Below are 20,213 nucleotides of genomic sequence, written 5' to 3' on the forward strand. Positions count from 1 at the left end.
GTAGTCCCAGCTACTCGGGAGGCTGAGGCAGGAAAATGGTGTGAACCCGGGAGGCGGAGCTTGCAGTGAGCCGAGATCGCACCACTGCACTCCATCCTGGGACAGAGCGAGACTCCGTCTCAAAAAAAAAAAAAAAAAAAAAAAATACAAAAATGAGCTGGGTGTGGTGGCGGACACCTGTAATCCCAGCTGTTCAGGAGGCAGAGACAGGAGAATCGCTTGAGCCTGGGAGGGGGCTGCAGTGAGCCGAGATCGCGCAATTGCACTCCAGCCTGGGCGACAGAGCAAGACTCCATCTCACAAACAAACAAACAAAAAAAGGATATTGTGCTGGGGATAAGGGAGGACAGAGGGGGATGACCAGCAGGCAGGCCTATCTCAGAGACAGGAGAATGTATTTCTCAGGGCCTCTCAGTCCTCATGGTACAGGTGATGATGGCAACATCCCCAAAAAGCCAGGCACAAGCCAGGGAGATACAAGCTGATGCTACGGTCAGCCTGAGACTGGGTGGCGCACCCTCCACATATAACCGCCACCCCCCACCCATCCCCACCCCAGAGGGCTCCAGAGTCAGCGGAAACTGTGGCTAATTTGGAGCAGAAGTTTCCAGGAGCTGGAGAGGCAGGCCTCAGATCCCAGATGGCTTTTCTGGGAGCTGGTCCCTTCCTGCCCGGAATCCAGAATCTCACTTGTCCTAACAGAGACGAGAGCTGTTTTCCCAGGGATCTGAGACAGGCCAGCCCAGGCTGGGGCAAGAGAACTTGACCTGACCAGGCCTGGGGTCATGACGGGGGGTGAGGGAAGGGGCTTGTGGGAGCTCTCCTGGGACTGGCTGGAGAGGAATGAGGAATCTGCACACCCACCTGCCTGCTCATGAGGGTCTGCCCTTGGGGAGGTTGCCAGGGGCCAGGCAGGGAGGCCCCCTGCTCTTTTTTTTTTTTTTTGAGATGGAGTCTCGCTCTGTTGCCAGGCTAGAGTGCAGTGGCGCGATCTCAGCTCACCGCAAGCTCCACTTCCCGGGTTCATGCCATTCTCCTGCCTCAGCCTCCTGAGTAGCTAGGACTACAGGCGCCCACCACCACGCCCGGCTAATTTTTTGTATTTTTAGTAGAGACAGCATTTCACCAGGTTAGCCAGGATGGTCTCGATCTCCTGACCTCGTGATCCGCCCACCTCAGCCTCCCAAAGTGCTGGGATTACAGGTTTGAGCCACTGTGGTCGGCCCTGACCCCTACTCTTAAGCTAGGATTACCCTCATCAGCGCTGCCACACACAACTTTCTTCACTGATGCGGCAATTGAGCACTTGAAATACAGCTGGTATGGCCAGGCACAGTGGCTCACGCCTGTAATCCCAGCACTGTGGGAGGCCAAGGTGGGCAGATCACTTGAGGTCAGCAGTTCGAGACCAGCCCGGCCAACATGGTGAAACCCCATCTCTACTGAAAATACTAAAATTAGTCAGGCCTGGTGACGCTCCTGTAGTCCCAGCTACTCGGGAAGCTGAGGCACAAGAATCGCTTGAACCCGGCAGGTGGAGGTTGCAGTGAGCCTAGATTGCGTCCACTGCACTCCATCCAGCCTGGGCGACACAGCAAGACTCTGTCTCAAGGGGAAAAAAATGAAATACAGCTGGTGGGACTGAGCACTGCATTTTCATTGTATTTCATTTCAATTAACATACATTTAAGCTGAAGTAGCCAAATGTGGTCAGCAGTATTGTATTCAGAGTAGCACTGAGCTGAAGACCCAGGCAGGAGGTCGAAGGCAGGGACAGGAAGGTCAGGGTTTAAGGTCTGTGCAGCTATGGCAGAGAAGCGACTTTGGCAAAGCGCAGAGTGAGGCCCCAGGAAGGGAGGAGGTGGGACACTCGGTCTCGGCATCTGGCTCCACTGGAAGAGAGGTATACCCAGTTCCCAGGGTCAAAGTGTTTGTTACACACACATGCATCCATGCCTGTGTGTGAGTATAGGGGTTGGTGTGTCCCGAGGCACCCATAGGTGCGCTTGTGTGGGATCCAGGAGTCCCATGCCTATGAGCGATTCAAGAGTTCACCCATGTATGGACATTGTATGGACTCCCAGGCACACACAGATAATGGGTGTGTGTTCCTTCCTGAGTATCCATGCCTCCTGGGCAGGCCAGCAAGGACCACTAGTCCAGCAGGTCTTGCAAGAAGGCCCACATGTACTGGTGCATCTCCTGGGGGTTGCTCTGTGGGATCCAATGCCCTATGCCTGGCAGGATGTGGGCCTCCAAGCGGCCCGGCACAAAGCGGCTGCCGATGGCTTCCACCAGCCCCAGCTCCAAGTAAGTGTCCTTCTCCCCCCACAGCAGCAATGTGGGTGTGGTCAGCTCCTGGGGTTCCAGGGGGAAGTTCCTGTGGCCAGGACAGACAGACAGGCAGACAGACAGGCAGAAGGATGGTTGCCTCCCACCCCCCTGCCCCTGCAAATCTCCTGAGCTTATGCTTGGCAACTGGTCTCACCTGAAGAGGTTTCGGTAGTAGTTGAGGGGCCCAGTGAGGCCACCAGGCTGTGAGAAGTTATAAAGGAAGGCCTCGAGCTCGCTGGGGGTCAAGCATGGGATGCCTGTCTTGCGGTGGGTGAGGGTGGTCTTCAGAATCTAGGTACACAGCAGGACTCTGGCTTCAGTGCCCAGCCTGCCCAGCCCCGACCTGCTTCCCTCCTCCCTTCAACCTGCACCCTCTGTACCTGAAAGTCAGACATAGACAGCAGCTTCTCGGGCAGCCAGGGCAGCTGGAACAGGAACATGTAGTGGGAACGGAAGAACTGGCTGATGTGGTGCAGGGAATAGTCTGGGGTGGGAGGGTTGGGGGAGAGATATAAGGCCTGCTCCTGGGGTGGCCCCATACACCTGCACCCCTACACATACCCAGGTCAGGGACACAAGCCTCAGGAATGCCACTGCTGCCTGCCTGGGTCTGTGAAGGTACTAGATACCCCTCCTGGCCTGGGCACCAGCTACATTCCCTCCTGCCATGTTTCACTATCCACAGGATGGGGGCATCTCCTGGGAACCCCCATATCCAAAGGTGTGCTTCCTCTGCCCAGGCCAGGGTGCGTTTCCTCTGCTTTATTCAGCTAACATTTATTGAGCAACTACTGCATGCCAGGCCTTGTTCTAGACACAGCAGTGAATGAGACAGTCAAAACTCCCTGTTCATCCTAGGCAACTTAAGGAAACCCCTGTATCTATAATTTTTTTTTTTTTTTTTTTTTTTTTTTTTTTTTGAGACAGAGTCTCGCTCTGTCGCCCAGGCTGGAGTGCAGTGGTGTGATCTTGGCTCACTGCGAGCTCCGCCTCCCGGGTTCACGCCATTCTCCTGCCTCAGCCTCCCGGTAGCTGGGACTACAGGCACCCGCCACCACGTCCGGCTAATTTTTTTTGTATTTTTAGTAGAGACAGGGTTTCACAGTGTTAGCCAGGATGGTCTCGATCTCCGGACCTCATGATCCACCCGCCTCAGCCTCCCAAAGTTCTGGGATTACAGACGTGAACCACCGCACCCGGCCTCCAAAAAATAATTTTTTAAAAATTAGCAGGGTGTGGTGGTGTGTGCCTATAGTCCCAGCTACTTGAGAAGCAGAAGTGGGAGGATCGCTTGAGCCCAGGAGTCTGAGGCTGCAGTGAGCTGCAATTACAGCACTGCACTCCAGCCTGGACCACAGAACAAGACTGTCTCAAAGGAAAAAAAACAAAACACAAAAAAAGACACCCCCAAAAGACAAAAAACTCCCTGCCCTCAGGGAGCTGACAGTCTAGATGGGGAGACAGACAAGTAAACAATAATAGGCTGGGTGCGGTGGCTCACGCCTGTAATCCCAGCACTTTGGGAAGCCAAGGCGGGTGGATCACTTGAGATCAGGAGTTAGACACTAACCTGGGCAACATAGTGAAAACCCGTCTCCACTAAAAATACAAAAATTAGCTGGGCGTGTTGGGGCATATCTGCAGTCCCCGCTACTCTGGAGGCTGAGGAAGGAGAGTCACTTGAACCCAGGAGGTAGAGGTTGCCAGGCAGGGTGGCTCACTCCTGTAATCCCAGCACTTTGGGAGGCTGAGGCCGGCAGATCGCTTGAGCCCAGGAGTTCAAGACCAGCCTGGCCAACATGCTGAAACCCCATTTCTACTAAAAATACAAAATAATTAGCCGGTCATGGTGGCACACATCTGTAGTCTCAGCTACTGAGGAGGCTGAGGCAAGAGAATCACTTGAACCTGAGAGGCGGAGGTTGCCGTGAGCCGACATTGCGCCACTGCACTGCACAGAGTGAGACTCCATCTCAAGAAAAAAAAAAAAAAAAGGGGCCAGGCGTGGTGGCTCACGCCTATACTCCCAGCACTTTGAGAGGCCAAGGTGGGCAGATCACAAGGTCAGGAGATCAAGACCATCTTGGCCAACATGGTGAAACCCCGTCTCTACTAAAATACAAAAAATTAGCCCGGCATGGTGGCCTGTAATCCCAGCTACTTGGGAGGCTGAGGCAGGGGAATCGCTTGAACCTGGGAGGCGGAGGTTGCAGTGAACTGAGATCACGCCACTGCACTCCAGCCTGGCGACAGAGCAAGACTCTGTCTCAAAAAAAAAAAAAAAAAAAAAAAAAAGAAAAGAAAAGAAAAAGAAAAAAAACAACAAAAGAGAGAGAGAGAGCACAGTTATGACCACAGTGCTGCATATTAACATCAGGTGATATGATAGACATTGTTAACCTCCCCAGCCTCAGTTTCCTCCAGCTGGAACATGGGGATAATACAACCTTCATAAGCCCAGGAGCCTTAAGTAGGTTACTGTGTGCATATTCCTTGTTACTGTAAGTGCTATAAAAAAATGTGGATTACTCCTAAGTGTATTGTGATTTATTTTATTTTATTTTATTTTTGAGACAGAGTCTCACTCTGTCATCCAGGCTGGAGTGCAGTGGTGCGATCTTGGCTTACTGCAACCTCCACTTCTCAGGTTCAAGTGATTCTCTTGCCTCAGCCTCCCGAGTAGCTGAGACTACAAGCGTGCACTACCATGCCTGGCTGATTTTTTTGTATTTTTAGTAGAGACGGGGTTTCACCATGTTGGCCAGGCTGGTCTTGAACCCCTGGGCTCAAGCAATCCACCGGCTTTGGCCTCCCAAAGTGCAGGGATTACAGGCAGGAGCCACCACGCCTGGCCATACTTTATTTTATTTATTTATTTTTTGAGATGGAGTTTTGCTCTTGTTGCCTAGGCTGGAGTGCAATGGCATGATCTCAGCTCACTGCAACCTCCACCTCCCAGGTTCAAGAGATTCTCCTGCATCAGCCTCCCGAGTAGCTGGGATTACAGGCATGCACCACCAATGCCTGGCTAATTACATTTTTTTTTTTTTTTTGTAGAGACAGTTGGGGTCTTGCTATGTTGACCAGACTGGTCTTGAACTCCTGGCCTCAAGTGATCCTCCCACCTCAGCCTCCCGGAGGGCTGGGATTACAGGTGTGAGCCACTGGGTCTGGCGTGTCATTAATTTCCGAATGAGGAGTTCCACAACCGAAGGGACCTGGGTTGATTGCTGCACCCTCAGCCCCTGATGTGTTGACAGGTATACAGAGAATTGAAAACACAGACACATGTCCCTGCCCCCTTGCACATAAGTACATCCCAGTGTCCCGGACTCCCACACACACCTTGGTACACCGACATGGGGGCACCACTGACCACAACCATCCGCTCGACCAGGGATGGGTAGTAGATGGAGAAATGCCAGGCAAGGAGGGCACCCCAGTCATGGGCCACAAGGATGCACTTCGAGTAACCTGTGGGAATTCAAGGAGCTCGCATAAGTGAGGTGCCCAGTAGGACTGAAGCAGGGATGGGGGAAGTAGGTTCCAGCAAGGAGAAAGCGGGGGTATGCGTGTGTGCAGGATGAGGGAGGCCACGCCTAGGATGGGGGTATGTCTGCACCCAGGCCTAGGATGACATCTTTGATGTCCACCAGCAGCAGGTCGATTGTGTAGCAGTCCACATCCCGAGGTGCATCCGAGGGGCCATAGCCTCGCAAGTCCACAGCCACAACATGGAAGCGGCTCTGGAACTCCCGGAGCTGGTAACGCCAGGAGAACCTGCCAGGCGGGCGAGGGAGGGAGGCTGAGTCAGGGCCCTCAGGTTGCACCTGCACCCTACGCACATCAGCAACCATTGGCAAACCCTCCTTCCTGCTCTAAACTTCCCCTAAAAGGAGGATGGGGAATCCCAGGCAGAGGCAGAGGCTGAGGCTGAAGCCAGCTACACCCTGAATCCAGGGAACTTCAATCAACCTCAATACCCCTTTGTCCTGTCCCTTCAGGGCCTAGGGATCCTGGGTATGCTGGCTCAGTACCCCTATCCCCATCTATGTTCAGCTTGTCCCGATCTATACAGCCCTCCTCCCTGCCTCTTGGGAGCCCAAGCTCCACCTGCCCCCGAGTCCCGTGGGCCTCAGGCCCCTGGCCCCAGACGTACCAGTTCTCAGGGAAGCCGTGCAGAAACAGCATGAGGGGTCCGTTACCTCGTCCAGCCGAGACATAGTGCAGACGCAGGCCCGAGCTCTAGGGGGAGGGCACAGCCTGAAGCCTGGGGAACCCTCTCTCCCGAGGCTTGAACCGTCTCGACCCCACGCGACCCCGCAGCCCCGATAGCGCCCCCGTGCGATCACCTTGAGGTTCAGGAAACCGTGCTCACCCAGCGAGGGGTCGCTCAGGCAGGCGGGGGACGCGCTCCGACGGCGCCCGCAGCAGCCGCGCCGGGGCCGGCACAGCACGTGCGTGAGCGCTATGCAGCCGTAGACCGCCGCGGCCACCAGCGCCACCGAGAACACCAGGCTCCACATGAAGGCGCGCAGCAGCTTCAGCGACAGGCGCGACGGCGCCAGCAGCGCGGTCACCACCAGCTCCGGCATGTCGCCGCGCTCCGGGACCACGGCGGCGCTGCCGGCCAGGGGCACCTGCAGCAGCGGCGAAGCGGTGTCAGGGCTCAGGGGCCCATCGCCCTTGGCCTGGGGCCCCTCCGTGCCGTCGGGATTTGTGGGACGCGCTGAAGGAAGAGGCGGGCGGCTCCGACAGAAAACAGCCAGAGCGCACCACTCACCTGAGTGCCAGGTAAACACCTGGGCGCGACAGGGACAGGAAACAAGGGTAGGGTGCGGAGGCTGGGGAGGAAGAGGTTGGAAAGGGGGGAAATAAATGGGCGGGGCCTAGCAGGTCCTGTGCGGGGCTTAGGGCCGGGGCGGGGCCCAGGAAGACTCAGCAGCGGGTGGGTGAGGGTCTAAAGGCGGCAATTCCGGGCCGGGTGCGGTGGCTCACGCCTGTAATCCCAGCACTTTGGTAGGCCGAGGCGGGCGGATCACCTGAGATCAAGAGCTCGAGACCAGCCTGGGCAACGTGGTGAAACCCCGTCTCTACTAAAAATACAAAAATTAGCTGGGCGTGGTGGCGGGCGCCTGTAGTCCCAGCTACTTGGGAGGCTGAGGCAGGAGAATCGCTTGAACCCGGGACGTGGAGGTTGCAGTGAGCTGAGATCGCGCCACTGTACTCCAGCCTGGGTCACAACAGGGAAACTCCGTCTCAAAAAAGAAAAAAAAAAAAGGCAATTCCGAGCCCAGACAAACCTTAAGGAGGGGATCCTGGATCTTCAGTTAAGTGGGCGACACCTGGAGTGAGGGGCGGGGCATATGCAGAGTAGGTGCGGCCTACAAGCCAAAAAGGAGAAAGAGTTGGAATGGTGGGCCTGGCTTATGCGGGTGGGCGGGGAGAGGGTGGATCCTAGAGGAGGTGAGGCCTAACATTGGGCGAAGAAGGCGGGAGCCTGGGCCAATGAGCTGACGGTAGGCCGGGGAGGGGGCGGTGGGGTGGGGTGGGCAATGGGCAATGAGACGGAGGGCGGGGCCGGGACCTAATATGGCGGGTCAGGAGGGTCTGGAAGACGAAGAAGAGGGACAGGCAATGCCAGGTCTAGGACTAGGAGGGAGGCGCGGGCGGTATTAGCGGCTGGAGGAGGCTTCGGGAGGCCCGGCCGACGGCCGCCGCCTGGTGCTACCCACCCAGGGGCGCGCGACCCTCCCTTCGGTCTGGCTCCAAAGACCTAGCAGCACTGACTTCACCCAGCTGTGGTTCCAACGGCGGGTCCAGCGGCCTCGGCCCGGCGCCGTCCTCCTGCTGGCCCAACAGGCCCGCCAGCCCGCCCCTGTACGTCTGTGATTGGACGGCGGCGGCCACTGATGTTCAAGCGACAGGTCCTGGCCCGGGAGCCAATCTGCAGGTGTTGAGGCCCAGGCTCCGAGAGCGGGCCGAGGAGGCGTGGATACCCTGATTCCTAGGGGGCAGGCCTGGTTCCCCCGAGGAGGACCCGGCCTATGAATGACTGGAGTTCTGGGGTTCTGGCCGAAAGAGGAAGTGGGACAGGGCCGGGTGTGATGGGGCCTAGAGTCACAGAGCCTTGCGGCCCTGCTGTCCCTGCAAGAAGCCAGCTTCTGGCCAGGCGCGGTGGCTCACGCCTGTAATCCCAGCACTTTGGGAGGCCGAGGCGGGCGGATCACGAGGTCAGGAGATCGAGACCATCCTAACATGGTGAAACCCTGTCTCTACTAAAAATACAAAAAATTAGCCAGGCGTGGTGGCGGGCGCCTGTAGTCCCAGCTACTAGGGAGGCTGAGGCAGGAGAACGGCGTGAACCCAGGAGGCGGAGGTTGCAGTGAGCTGAGATTGCGCCACTGCACTCCAGCCAGGGCGACAGAGCGAGACTCCGTCTCAAAAAAAAAAAAAAAAGCAGCCAGCTTCTTCCTCCTATTTTGCAACCTTCTCCCGATATCCTTGAACATTTTAGGGACAGCCATCACTTAACCATAGAGCAACCCTATTAAGTCTAAGTAGCATAATCACATTCCTGTAGTATAGATCATGAACCTGAAATTCGAGGATGAAGTCATTTGCCTGAAGACATACATCTTGTAAAATAGCCATCCGCAAAGATGTAGGGAAAAAGGCAGCGATCTGTGGCTACACCTCCCCTTCCTCCCGGAAGCAGCCACTGGAACGTTTTTAGCTTTTTCTTTTTTTTTCAGATGGAGTTTCGATCATAGCTCACTGCAGCCTCGAACTCCTGGGCTCAAGCACTACAACCTGTAGTTGGGACTACAGGCCTGTGCCACCACACTCAGCTAATTTTTCAAAAACTTTTCAGAGAGACGACTTGCTATATTGTCCAGGCTGGTCTCAAACTCCTGGCCTCAAGCAATCCTCAAGCCTCCACCTCCCAAAGTGGGATTACAGATGCAAGCCACCGTGCCTGACCTTTATTTCTTGACTTAACCAATGTATGACATCAGCCACTGACTTGCTCACATCACTACCCCGGACGTGCCGTTTTTTGTTTCCCTGTTAGTTTCCTTTAAAAACACTCCACTTGTCACCTCTTGCCCCTTTCCACCTCCCACTTTTATCCATATACCTTTGTACTGTCAAGGCTGCTAAACATTATACTGTCCTGGGACCATAACTAAGTCCATGAAGTTGCCACTTAAAGGTGAATAGTGGTTTATGTTCTGCCTCAGTGAACAATGCATCTCAAGAGCCGAATAGACCACTATGATTACATTGCCCATAGTGTACAAACTTTTGTTCTCCCTGGACTACTTAACCACTACCTTTCTTTTGTTGTGTGATTAGCCTACATCAAAGCTTTGGGGGTTTTTTTGTTTTTGTTTTTTTTGAGATGGGAGTCTCACCATATCACCCAAGCTGGAATGCAGTGGTGTGATCTCGGCTCACCGCAACCTCCGCCTCCAGTGTTCAAGCAATTCTCCTGCCTCAGCCTCCGGAGTAGCCGGGACTACAGGTGTGTGCTACCGCGCCCCGCTAATTTTTTGTATTTTTCAGTAGAGATGGGAGTTTCACCATGTTGGCCAGGCTAGTCTCTTAACTCCTGACCTCAAGCGATCCTCCCACCCCGGCCTCCCAAAAGTGCTGGGATTACAGATGTGAGCCACCGTGCCTGGCAGCTTTTTCTTTTACACCTTCCATTAAATCAATTATCTCACAATTTGATGTTCCCAGGATCTCTCCCAACCGACTCCGCTAATCTGGACGCATGGGTGGTGGGTGTCTGGGGAACCTCCCTTCTTCCTCTCCTACACATCACTGACCCCCCGCCCTCATCTCCCCGCTTCTCCCAAGTCTACCCTCAAACAAAAAGCAGCCATCACAGGAGAGTAACTTTATACTCAGTACAAATGTTTATTTTTGCAATGAGAACTGCACAAAAAAAAAAAAAAACCTTTCGTATGTAAGTGAAAAGTCTACGAATTCCCTTCTACAAATGTCTAAAGTGTTTAATACAAGTCTCAGATTCACTGACATAATTATTGGCCAAGCGATCCGTGCATACAGTACAGTGGGGGCTTGTACACACCTCTTACTCTGGTATAGGACTAAGATTTCTAGTACTGTGGGAAGGGTTGGGAAATGGCTGGAGAAATTAAATAGATCCCAGTTCTAATTACAACCCAGGTAGAGAGACACCCATCAGGGAGGTGTGGAGAAGGCCATGGCTGAGTTAAATCTTCAGCAGGAAGCTGCAGAGAAAACTATCCAGCTCAGCAGTTGGACCCAGGCTGGGGAAGTGTCTGAACAAAACAAGGAACAAAAATGAGTGGGTGGGATGAGATGGAAGAAACCCCAAAGAACCTAAATACGTCACACTTGAAGTGGCACAGTGGTATATGAGAAAGTGCCTGAGTGGGCATGGACATCGAAGAAGTGGGGGGACCTCTGGCTGGATGCCTGAACCACACCCTCACAGGGAGGTTTGGCAGATCCAAAGACAATAAAGGACCTTTCAGGTCAAAAAGAGGGGATGTAGGAGAATAAACAGTGCTAGAAATGTTTCAATCAGTTTGTCTCTGCATACATATAAATTATATACTTGTATCTTACATCTTAGGGGCTCTTCTTGGGCGTCACCCGTGCCTTGTGGCTGGGGCATGTACATACACAAGTGGACACACAGGCAGAGCAGCCACCTGTGGGCTTTCTTGGACAGGAATGTGTGTGTATGTGCATGGGGGGTGAGGATCCTATTTTGGGGGATGTAGACTTATATCTAAGAGTATCTGGTTAACCCTGAGCTTAAATGAAAGGAGGAGTTAGGTTGAGGCAGGCAAGGTGGGAGAAGTGGCCCAAGTCCTTTGGTGAGTGGGGGGACAGGATGGAGTAGGGGGGACAGGATGGAGTAGGGTGGAGGGGAAGAATACTGTCTGGAGTCTGGCCAGGGTTCTGCTAGAGCACACCCTCCACCTCAGCCAGGGTCCACAAGGATGGGTACCGGGCTCTGCGTCACAGCTTCAGCTTGGGGTGGTTGCTATGAGTCTGCGTGGCTCCCGCCCAGGGCAGACAGGGACAGGTCACAGGAGAGGGGCTAGGTAATCCCTGGCAGTAGTTCCTGTACAGAGGTGGTCTGGGGTCCAGGGGGTCCCCTGGGCCTAGCCTAGGCAACAGTTGGTTCACAAAGAAATGTCAGGGAGACGCCAGCATTAAAAAAAGAGAGATGTGTTTATTCCATGATCAGTACAGACCAAATGCATATTCACCGTATGAAAGTCAAACCAGTCAGTGACTCCAGAGTTTGGCCAACACTGAGGCACCAGCGTCGTGGTGTAGAGTGGGTTCTCATGGCACGCGTAACCTCACCAGGGGCTCCAATTATAAAAATTAAAAAAAAAAAAAAAAAAAAGCATGGGCAGGAGCGGCCAGCTGGTTGGGGCTGGGCGCCAGGTAGGGGAGTCTCTGCCTTAGTCTGTGGCGCCCCCAGGGCCCGGTTCCCACCTCATCCCTTGGCCCTTCCTTTCTCAGTAAAAAACAAAAACAAAAACAAAAACCAAAACCAAAAAAACCAACTCAACAGATCTGACATTAAAAAACAAAAAAGCCAACAAATGGGTGGGGGGGGGGGGGGTGGAGGGGAAAGAAAAGAAATTGTAGCTTTCTGGTTTTATAATTAAAAATAGACTAATAAAGTTTGAAACTGAGTAAAATATAGGCAGGATTTTTTTTGTGTGTTTTGTCTTTTTGTGGATTTTTTTGAGCTTTTTTCTTTTTTCACACCAGTTTGGTGGAGTCACCAACAAACTTCAAACAAAGATATGCCAACTATGTTCACTATACAGTACAGCCACGGTCACACACTACCCACAGCGCGGTGGCAGCCGCTGCTCAATGAGGAGACGATCACACCATTTCGGAGATAAGCAGTGCCATTGTGTCTGGAGGAGAAGAGAGAATTAAAAATAAAATAGAATTCAACAAAAAATATATATAGAAAAAAAAGAAAAAAAAAAACGAAACAGAAACACAGGTGGGAAGGAACTGACTTTGGTTGGTGGCCTCACTCCCCGGCCGAGGGCTACCCACGCAGGACAGTCGCCTCGCTCCGGATGCCATGGACACACACACCTCCACGGCACTATTCCCTTTTGCACAAGCAAACACTTACAGAGAGCGGCTCTCAATTAAAGGCTTGTGGGGGAGGGTCGGGGGGTCTGTTCAAGGCAAAGTCAGTGCCAGCGAGGGGGTGGGCCGGCCTCGCCCGCCTCCAGCCCACGCAGGCCTGCCCTGGCCTCCTGGGAGCGGGCGGCGATGGCTGGGGTGTGGGGAAAGACTCCCGGCGGGCAGGACATCACGAACGTCACGTTCTTGGGGACAGAAAACCAGTCACGGCGGCAGCAACGATGTCCTGTGTATACTGTGTAGACATTTGGCGGAGAGAAGGGCCTCTGCCCCGCATGTGGGGATGCAGGGCTTGGGTCCAGCCGGCACTTGCTCGTAACAAGGCGTGTGCTGAGCGGACGTCCTGTGAGGGGTGGTGGGTGGCGGGACGTCTGTCCGACTGGCCGTAAGGCAGACAGGCTCTGCAATCCTCAGCTGCCCGTCAGGCCTGCCCCGGGCATAGCATGCAGGAGGGCCAGGCCCTGAGGCATCCCCTGGCCGCTGATCCCACCTCCACCACCGCCCCTAACACTATGGAAAGTCAATGTTTTGCCAGAAAATCAAAGTCAGAAGCCACCTAGGTGCGCTCAGAAAAGATTTTCTTCAAATATTGACAATAGATCACTCTGGAAATTCATGTCAATGGTAGCTGCCATCTGGAGGAGAAAGGAAGGAGGGAGTCAGGAGGATGACCTAGCCACCCTGCAGCTACAAGCCCTCATACCCGCTACCAGCAGTCAGCCCCGTAGCCCTCCCCGTGGCTGACCCCTCATAGCGCTCACCCCGTCCACACAGCACTCAGGGCCCTACAGCTGAGTCCAGAGGACCACATGCCGACCAGCAGGGACGGGGCTCCCCCGCTGCCCCTCCCTGTCCAGGCTCCAGTCCCCCTTTCCCAGCTCCCTCAGGAGCTAATCCTTAGACCAGGGTCCCCACCAGGCCTCCAGACTCACGGCTTCCCGGCGTCTTCGCTCCTGCTCCCGCTTCCGGGCCAACTCCCTCTGCTGGTCCAGCATGGACTGGGGCTGGGAGCTCTGGGCCTGTGGGGTGGCGGCGGCAGCCACCGCAGCTGCTTGCTGTTGCTGCTGCTGCTGTTGCTCCTGGCGCTGCTGCTGCTGCTGCTCCTGGCGCCGACGTGCCTCCTCATGGGCCCGCCGGGCCTGCTCCAGCGCATCCTCGTCCTCTCGGCTCCTGGGCAGAGGGTCCCAGTCAGCCTGGGGACTGGTGTGGCCCCAAGAGTCCCCATGCCCCACCCAGACACCCGCCCACCTCATGCGCTCCTGCCGCAGCCGCTCCTTCTCCTTCTCAGCGTGCTCGGCCTGAGCCTTCAGGGCCTTCTCACGCTCCTCTTTCTCCCGAGCGGCGCGGCGGAACTGCTCGAAGCTGTCGCTGGATGACTTGGCTGTGGAGGAGGGGGTGGTCGGATGCTTCTGCACTAGGCTGGCCCAGGAGCCCATGTTCTTGATTTTCAGGTCCTGCAGAACAGAGAGGTTGGGGTGGGTGAGGGGTCTGCTGTGCCTAAAGGGCATAGCTGGGGGTGTGCCCAGCATGGCACCTTCCAGGGCCAAGGGGCAAGCGACACCCATGGACCTCCATCCCAACCTTTTTGGGCGCAACTGGAGTCTTCGGCTCCTGTTTCTGTTTGTCCTTGTCAGGGGCCCCTGGTGGCGGTGCGTTCTGCTCTGGGGGCCGGATCACAGGCCTCCCGACATCCACAGGCTTCATTTCCGGCCCTGGAACATAAACAGCCGGTGGGCCCTGGCCCACCTCACCCCAGTGGGGCATGGTCCACCAGCCCCACAGCAAGCTTATGTCCAACACGGGCCTCGGGGGGCCTGAGCCCTGGCTGTGGGCAGGGAGAGCACTCACGCTGGGGCAGGTGGACGGGGGCCTTGATGCTCTCCGGGTGCTTGGGGGGCTCCGGCCGCAGCGAGGGGCTGAAGGGCTCGCTGCGGATGATGGGTGAGTGGATCTTCTCCTCCTTCACCACCACGAGGGGCTGGGGCTGGACCACGGAGGCAGCACGCAGCTCCTGGGATGGCACAGGCACAGCGGCCGGTGAGGTGGGCAGGCACCCCCGGCCCTAGCCCACAGGACTATGGCCCAGCCCTGCCAGTTACCTGTTTCTTAGGCTGGACGTTTTGCTGGGGTGGAGACTGGTGGGTCAGGCTCTGGAACTGTGACATCTGGGGGGAATGTATCATAAGCGGGGAGGGGGCTTCGCGGAGGTGACCTAGGAGAAGGGACAAGGAATGTGTCAAGGGGCTGGCTTAGAACTGCTGGCCCTGAGAGAATTGTCGGGAAGGAAAACGTGGGCTGTATGGAGAAACTGCATGTGCCGCCCAGGCCCTGGGACAAGGGTCCATTAGCCCAGCTCAAAAAGGGTGAAGACCCACACAAGTGACTGGGCCTGGTGAGGACATGACCCCTCCCCGAAAGGGCTGAGTGCCCTGTGTCCCCCTGCATGTGGGGCATAACTCAGTGTGCAGCAGAGCTTTCTAGGGCCCTGTGGCACCAGTCCTGGTGTTTGACCCTCCTGTGTGCATCAGAATCATCTGGGATACTGTGGAAAACACAGATCCTGACACATGTGGGCTTGGCAGGGCCTGGGCCCTAATACTTTTTAAACCCACAAAGCTCAGCCTGGGTTCCTGCCAACTAGCCTGGCCCACCTGGATGATTGCAGGGGGTGCAAGACCCAGTCCTGGGGGTGGGGATGCTCAGGACCCTCCCCACAGTCCTATTCCCCACTCAGCCTGCACGCCCCCACGGAAGAGAGAAGCCTGGAATTGGCCTCCACCTGCGCCGAGTGGGGAGCAGGCGGAAAAGGGCCTGGAGCTGTCTCTTAGGAAACAGGCCAGCCTGACACCTGCATCCAACCCAAGGCTGGGAAGGATCCAGCAGCCACAGGGACTACTGGGCCCTCAATCACAGTGAGCCAGCACCTCGGGACTGTGCAGCTGGAGCAGCTGAGTCCTACCCATCCAACATGTGGCCTCTCTCTGCTGGAATCCCTGCAGGCAAGGGGCCTCACCGCTCTTTGGCTAGCTGCAGCTCGGGACAAGCCACACTGTCCACAGAGGAGGCTGCCCCTCTGCAACGCTTTTGCTCCCAGCCTAGCCTCATGCCCATCTCCTTCCACTGTCTGTCAGCACAGGCACCCTTGGGTTCTCCAGGAGCCCTGCTGGCTGGAGGCATCTATTTTCATAGGCCTGGAGCAAACCACAATGCCCCAGGTGTGGTAGATCCTCTCTAGAGCCAGGACCCACTCCTAACGCCAGAAGACACTGCAGCTGCTTGGAGCCCACATGGTGGCCAGGCCCATCCTGTCCCCGCAGCCCACTGCTGTGTGTGGCTGGTTTTCCTGGCGTTGACATCTCCTCCAATTCTAGCACATCGGGACCACTTTGGGCACTGCCAATTCCATTCAGTGCTGGAGGGCCCCAGGTCTGGCCTGCCAGGGATCCACAGGCACATGACTGCAACAGCCTCCCACCCAACTAGGGCAGTGCCTTCAGCACCTGCTGAGGCTGACCTGGGCAACGGTAGGCTCCAGGGGCTGTGGTTTATAGAAACCACCTGCCTGCTGGTGGGTTCAGAGGATGGCTCACGGATGACTCCTGAAAGCTGGCTGGGGGCCCAGGGATGCCTGTTAAGTCTCTTTGGGAGTCTAACAACTTGGCTTTTGGCCTACAAAGCCCCTAGCAGGATCCCAATCCACACTGCTCTTGATGCCCCATCCTAGCCTGCTGGGGCTTGGGTCACGGCCAGGGACCTGAAGTAGAGCTGGCTGGAGAAGACCTGCCTCAGCCCCGATAGGTGCCTGGTGCACCCGAGTGCTGGCTCTTCTAAATGCCTTGCATCCCCTGTCTATCACCCCCAACAGGAGTCCAGCCCTGCTTCGCATGAGAACAGGCACAGCCGCACAGCTGCCAGGCCCAACACCAGTATTTCCCAGGGAGGACAGGCAGCTTGTTCTTGGCTCAGGGCATGCAGAGATCCACTTGGCACCTGACTTTTTTTTTTTTTTTTTTTTTTTTTGAGATAGAGTCTCCATCTGTTGCCCAGACTGGAGTGCAGTGGCACGATCTCAGCTCACTGCAACCTCCGCCTCCCAGACTCAAGCGATTCTCCCGCCTCAGCCTCCCAAGTGGCTGGGATTACAGGTGCCTGCCACCATGCCTGGATAATTTTTGTATTTTTAGTACAGATAGGGTTTCACCATCTTGGTCAGGCTGGTCTTGAAACTCCTGACATCAGGTGATCCACCTGCCTTGGCCTCCCAAAGTGCTGGGATTACAGGCGTGAGCCACCGCGCCCGGCCTGCATCCAGCAGCTTTTGCTGGGTTAGGAGTAATCACAGCCCTGCCTCGTTGCTTGATTTGCAGGCAGCACCCGGTACACACCCAAGACAGGCAGCACCATCTACACTGCTGAGGCCAGGACCCTCCACCCTAACCCTGCAGCACCACATCAGGAGGCACTGACCAGAACATCCCCTGCCGGAGCCAGCCAGGACATTCTGGTTACTGACACTTAAGCGCCCAGGAAAAGTGAAAGGGTGTGGCCTGACCAATGCTGTCAATGGGAAAAGGGTGGCGTGGACTGGGCTGGAGGCTGGTAACAGGCGATGAGGACAGGTCCTGGGCGGGCTCTGAGCTGCCTTTTGAGCTTCCAGCTCAGTGCTCCCCACACCATGGTTCTGGCTCTCCCTGAACTTCATTCTTCACTCTGCTAAGTTAGCTGCTACCTGTCTGCGATCACTGCCTCTTGGAAGCATATCCTGACCCCCTGAGGTGCATCAGGTACCTCCCCTGGGCTCCTAGCTTCCCCACCTAGCAAGAAGTCACCTAGCATTGTCGTGCTCCTGACTCAAGAGAGGGACCAGAGGGGCCTTATTCTGAGTGATCTCACCTCACAAGCAAGAGAGACACCTGATAAACACACACTGTAGGAAGCACCAATGACCCTTCCAGGTCCCCCTCCAAGCTGAGGCTCAGCTCTGAACCCACTGCAGCCTGAAGCATGAGTTAACCCTTCTGGCTTCCTGAGGACAAAACTATAGGCCCAGCACCAGCCTCCCCAGAGTCTACGGGTGAGGACCACTTACCGGTTGAGTAGGGGTCCGACTTGTGGTGCCGGGGTGAATGGTGGTGCTGGATGACTTGCTGAGGCTTGGCAGGCTGCGGCGGGGGTGGCTGCTGGCCTGGGGGCGGATGGGGGGGCTGCTGGCCCTGGGGTGGCGGGGGCTGTTGGATGTGGGTGGAAAACTGCATGGGCTGCAAGTGCACGGGCCGTGGAGGGGGCTGATGCTGCTGCTGGGGTGGAGGCTGGGGCTGGGGTGGTGGGGGTGGTGGCGGCTGCTGCTGCAGCTGCTGCTGCACAGAGGGGTGGGGTGGGGGCGGCAGGGGGGGTGGGGGCTGGGACTGCACCTTCACGGAAGGGAGTAGCGGCGTAGGGGGCTGCACCTTCTGCAGCTGCTGCAGGTACAGCTGCATCTGCATGGAGGTGAGGGGTGGGGCAGGTGGCTCTTCATCCTCCAGCAGCACTTGGGGGGGTTGGGCCATGGGGGGCTGTGGGAGCAGGGGTGTTTGGGTCAAGGCTGGTGACACGGCTGGGGGCCGGGCGGGCTTGGGAGGCAGGGCAGCGGCTCGGTTGCTGGGCCGTGATGGCTGCTGGGGTAGTGCGTTGTGCAAAGCTGGAAGAACACAACACCGAGGCGGTGAGGCCTGAGCACCTGTGGCCCCAGCCTGGCCTTTCTGCTCCATCCTGACCTCATCTGGACTCCAGTGCTCTCCTACTGGCCTCCCTCAAACTGGCACTCCCTCCCCACCTACCGTGGCCTCCCACAAACTCCAGAGCAGTAAACAGCTTCCAGAGAGAGCTTTAGGGCGGTGTCATCCTGCCCTATGCTCTGTGTCCCCAGCTCCTGCTCCCCATGCTCACAATGGCCCTTCACGCCTCAGTGCAGAACTCGGTCTCTCACTTGCCCGGCCATTCCCCAGGCCCCCAGGAAGGTGGCCCTGTCCCCATATCCCCCAGGTGAGTGCTGTCCAGGTTCCATGGGAGGAATCCCATCTCATGAGTGCATCCCCCAACCCCTGATGAGAAAAGCTGCAGAGGGGTCCCAGCTTTTCCCATCTAACATGACGCCTGGCCCAGCAGCAGAAATAAGTCAAAATCATCTAGATTGTTACTCAAATGATGTCAGTGTTTTAGAAACAAAAATCTTCTGAATCAACGTGTTAATAACTCCATGCATGACCTGTCTTGAGGCATCTCCTTTAACTTCCAAGATGGCCTCGAGAAGCCACAGATCTTCCCTCTAGAGACCAGAGCAGCTGAGGCTAAGAAGCTGCCCAGCCAGAGTGCTCGGACACCACATGGGTAAACCGAGGCAGGAAGGGGTCTCAACCCACACTGGGGCAGGCCACGGCTCACCTGGAGGAGAGACCACTGCGTGCTGGTTGAGATGGGGTGGAGTGCTGTGCTCAGGCGGCTGGGGCAGGTGAGGGGGCAGCTCAGGCTGCGGCAGGTGCAGGATGGGCTGGGTGAAGTGGCCGATGGGGTCAAAGACGCTGCCTGGGAGCTGGGGCTCCAGGACGGGCACCTGGGTGGCAATGAAGGGTGGGGGCGAGGACTTCATCGCCGGGGCTGCCTGCTGCGGCATGGAGGGTGGGGGAGGCGGGGGTGGCGGCTGCTGTTGCTGCTGCGGAGGTGGAGGCGGTGGGGGCTGCTGGGGAGGCGGGGGCGGCTGCTGGGGCACAGGAGCCGGGGCCTGCTGCATCTGCTGATGGTGGTGATGATGGTGCTGCAGACAGAGAGACAGACAGACAGACAGGCTGATGTCAGGCAGGCAGAACTGGCCCGGGCCAGACCCAACGTCCCACCTAATGAAGGATGCCCCTGAGCCCATGTACCTTCTTCTGCTCCCTCCCGGGGTGCCCCTTCTTTTTTGACTTCGGAGCCATCTCTGCAGAGGAAAAGAGAAGGTAGTGAGGCTCTGGGGGAGAAGGTGAGTGAGCTGGCCTTGGATGAAGAAAGACGAGAAAACAGGGCACTTTCAGGAGAAGGACCAGTGACCCTGAGAAAGGGCAGCCGAGTTCAATGAGGGATGAGTTGGTCATCACGGGAGAGGGAGAGACATGCGAGGCATCACCTACCCACTTGCCTGCTGCTTTTCCTAGCAGGGACTGTGCCTGAAAAAGCCTCCCCTGCCAAGCTTCAGATCACCACGGTTGCACCGGAAGCTGAGAGCTTGCCCAACGCCTCCCACTACTCAAGGGTCAGTCACTCACTATAGTGACTGAGTGCATGGCCTGGACAGCAACCTGCTCAGTTTTCCAACAACCTGTGATGGTTGCAATGGTCACATTCATCTTACAGCTGAGAAAAGTGGGGCTTCAGAAGGGAGGGGACTTGTCCAGGGTCACATGGCTAAAAAGCAGCTTCTCGGGGGCCTCCAACTGCATGGCCCTCTAAGGCCCACTCCTTTCCATCCTCCAAAGGGAAGCAGAGAGGCTCAGCTGGGGCTGAGAGCCACAGGACGGTGAGGAACATATCGGCAAGGGAAAACACAGAGAGCCCACTCCGGGAGAAAAAAAAGGAGCAGGCTGGCCTCCTGGGAATGACCAGCTACTAAAGAGGTAGATGGACCTCAGAAGTCCCTGCTTTGGGACACAGTCACCATGCTGCAGACAGAAGGC

General features: G+C 56.3%; 2 protein-coding genes across 9 annotated transcripts in view, besides 2 other annotated features; both read right to left on the reverse strand.

Annotated features, from left to right (window-relative positions):
* Nucleotides 1-1,636: 1,636 nt before the first annotated feature.
* EPHX3 (epoxide hydrolase 3) lies at nucleotides 1,637-11,726 on the reverse strand. Of its 4 annotated transcripts, none has more exons than XM_047439452.1 (9): nucleotides 8,125-11,726; nucleotides 7,638-7,718; nucleotides 6,687-6,974; nucleotides 6,494-6,579; nucleotides 5,957-6,114; nucleotides 5,680-5,808; nucleotides 2,715-2,818; nucleotides 2,489-2,625; nucleotides 1,637-2,380 (listed from the first exon to the last, which is right to left on the reverse strand). In XM_047439452.1, the coding sequence occupies exons 3-9, from the start codon at nucleotides 6,927-6,929 to the stop codon at nucleotides 2,155-2,157; spliced, it is 1,083 nt and encodes a 360-aa protein (XP_047295408.1). In that variant the 5' UTR covers nucleotides 6,930-6,974; nucleotides 7,638-7,718; nucleotides 8,125-11,726; the 3' UTR covers nucleotides 1,637-2,154. The 4 variants fall into 4 exon arrangements, with proteins under 4 accessions (XP_047295408.1, XP_024307493.1, NP_001136358.1 ...); XM_024451725.2 differs by having other exon boundaries at nucleotides 8,070-11,726; NM_001142886.2 differs by lacking the exon at nucleotides 8,125-11,726 and having other exon boundaries at nucleotides 7,638-7,686.
* Nucleotides 6,916-7,417: an enhancer, noted in NCBI's record as "H3K4me1 hESC enhancer chr19:15343009-15343510 (GRCh37/hg19 assembly coordinates)". NCBI's record gives its function as "activates a minimal SCP1, AML or CMV promoter by ChIP-STARR-seq in naive H9 embryonic stem cells {active_cell/tissue: H9 hESC(naive)}" and the evidence as "EXISTENCE:reporter gene assay evidence [ECO:0000049][PMID:30033119]".
* Nucleotides 7,756-7,915: a silencer, noted in NCBI's record as "silent region_10269". NCBI's record gives its function as "represses an Ori minimal core promoter by ATAC-STARR-seq in GM12878 lymphoblastoid cells {active_cell/tissue: GM12878}" and the evidence as "EXISTENCE:reporter gene assay evidence [ECO:0000049][PMID:35858748]".
* Nucleotides 10,237-20,213, reverse strand: part of BRD4 (bromodomain containing 4) — a 97,021-nt gene continuing 87,044 nt past the window's right edge. For 4 of the 5 annotated variants that reach the window (NM_001379291.1, XM_047438540.1, NM_058243.3 and 1 more), the window contains exons 12-20: nucleotides 19,428-19,480; nucleotides 18,949-19,318; nucleotides 17,618-18,205; nucleotides 14,628-14,740; nucleotides 14,377-14,539; nucleotides 14,110-14,240; nucleotides 13,777-13,982; nucleotides 13,461-13,698; nucleotides 10,237-13,163 (exon numbers count right to left, since the gene is read on the reverse strand). In NM_001379291.1, coding sequence (NP_001366220.1) covers nucleotides 13,095-13,163; nucleotides 13,461-13,698; nucleotides 13,777-13,982; nucleotides 14,110-14,240; nucleotides 14,377-14,539; nucleotides 14,628-14,740; nucleotides 17,618-18,205; nucleotides 18,949-19,318; nucleotides 19,428-19,480 — 1,931 coding nt within the window. In that variant the 3' untranslated portion in view covers nucleotides 10,237-13,094. The remainder of the gene's footprint in view (nucleotides 13,164-13,460; nucleotides 13,699-13,776; nucleotides 13,983-14,109; nucleotides 14,241-14,376; nucleotides 14,540-14,627; nucleotides 14,741-17,617; nucleotides 18,206-18,948; nucleotides 19,319-19,427; nucleotides 19,481-20,213) is intronic. The other variant, XR_007066712.1, reaches the window with a different exon arrangement.

Source organism: Homo sapiens, chromosome 19, assembly GCF_000001405.40.
Source record: "Homo sapiens chromosome 19, GRCh38.p14 Primary Assembly".
Lineage (NCBI taxonomy): Eukaryota > Metazoa > Chordata > Mammalia > Primates > Hominidae > Homo > Homo sapiens.

What these genes read in the sequence shown, in the direction of transcription:
- EPHX3 (XM_047439452.1), bottom strand. Translation starts at nt 6,929, where the DNA reads ATGCCGGAGCTGGTGGTGACCGCGCTGCTGGCGCCGTCGCGCCTGTCG. An exon ending in ACGGTTTCCTGAACCTCAAG is followed by an intron (nt 6,580 to 6,686) that starts GTGATCGCACGG and finishes CCCTCCCCCTAG; the next exon opens with AGCTCGGGCCTGCGTCTGCA. An exon ending in CACGGCTTCCCTGAGAACTG is followed by an intron (nt 6,115 to 6,493) that starts GTACGTCTGGGG and finishes CCCGCCTGGCAG; the next exon opens with GTTCTCCTGGCGTTACCAGC.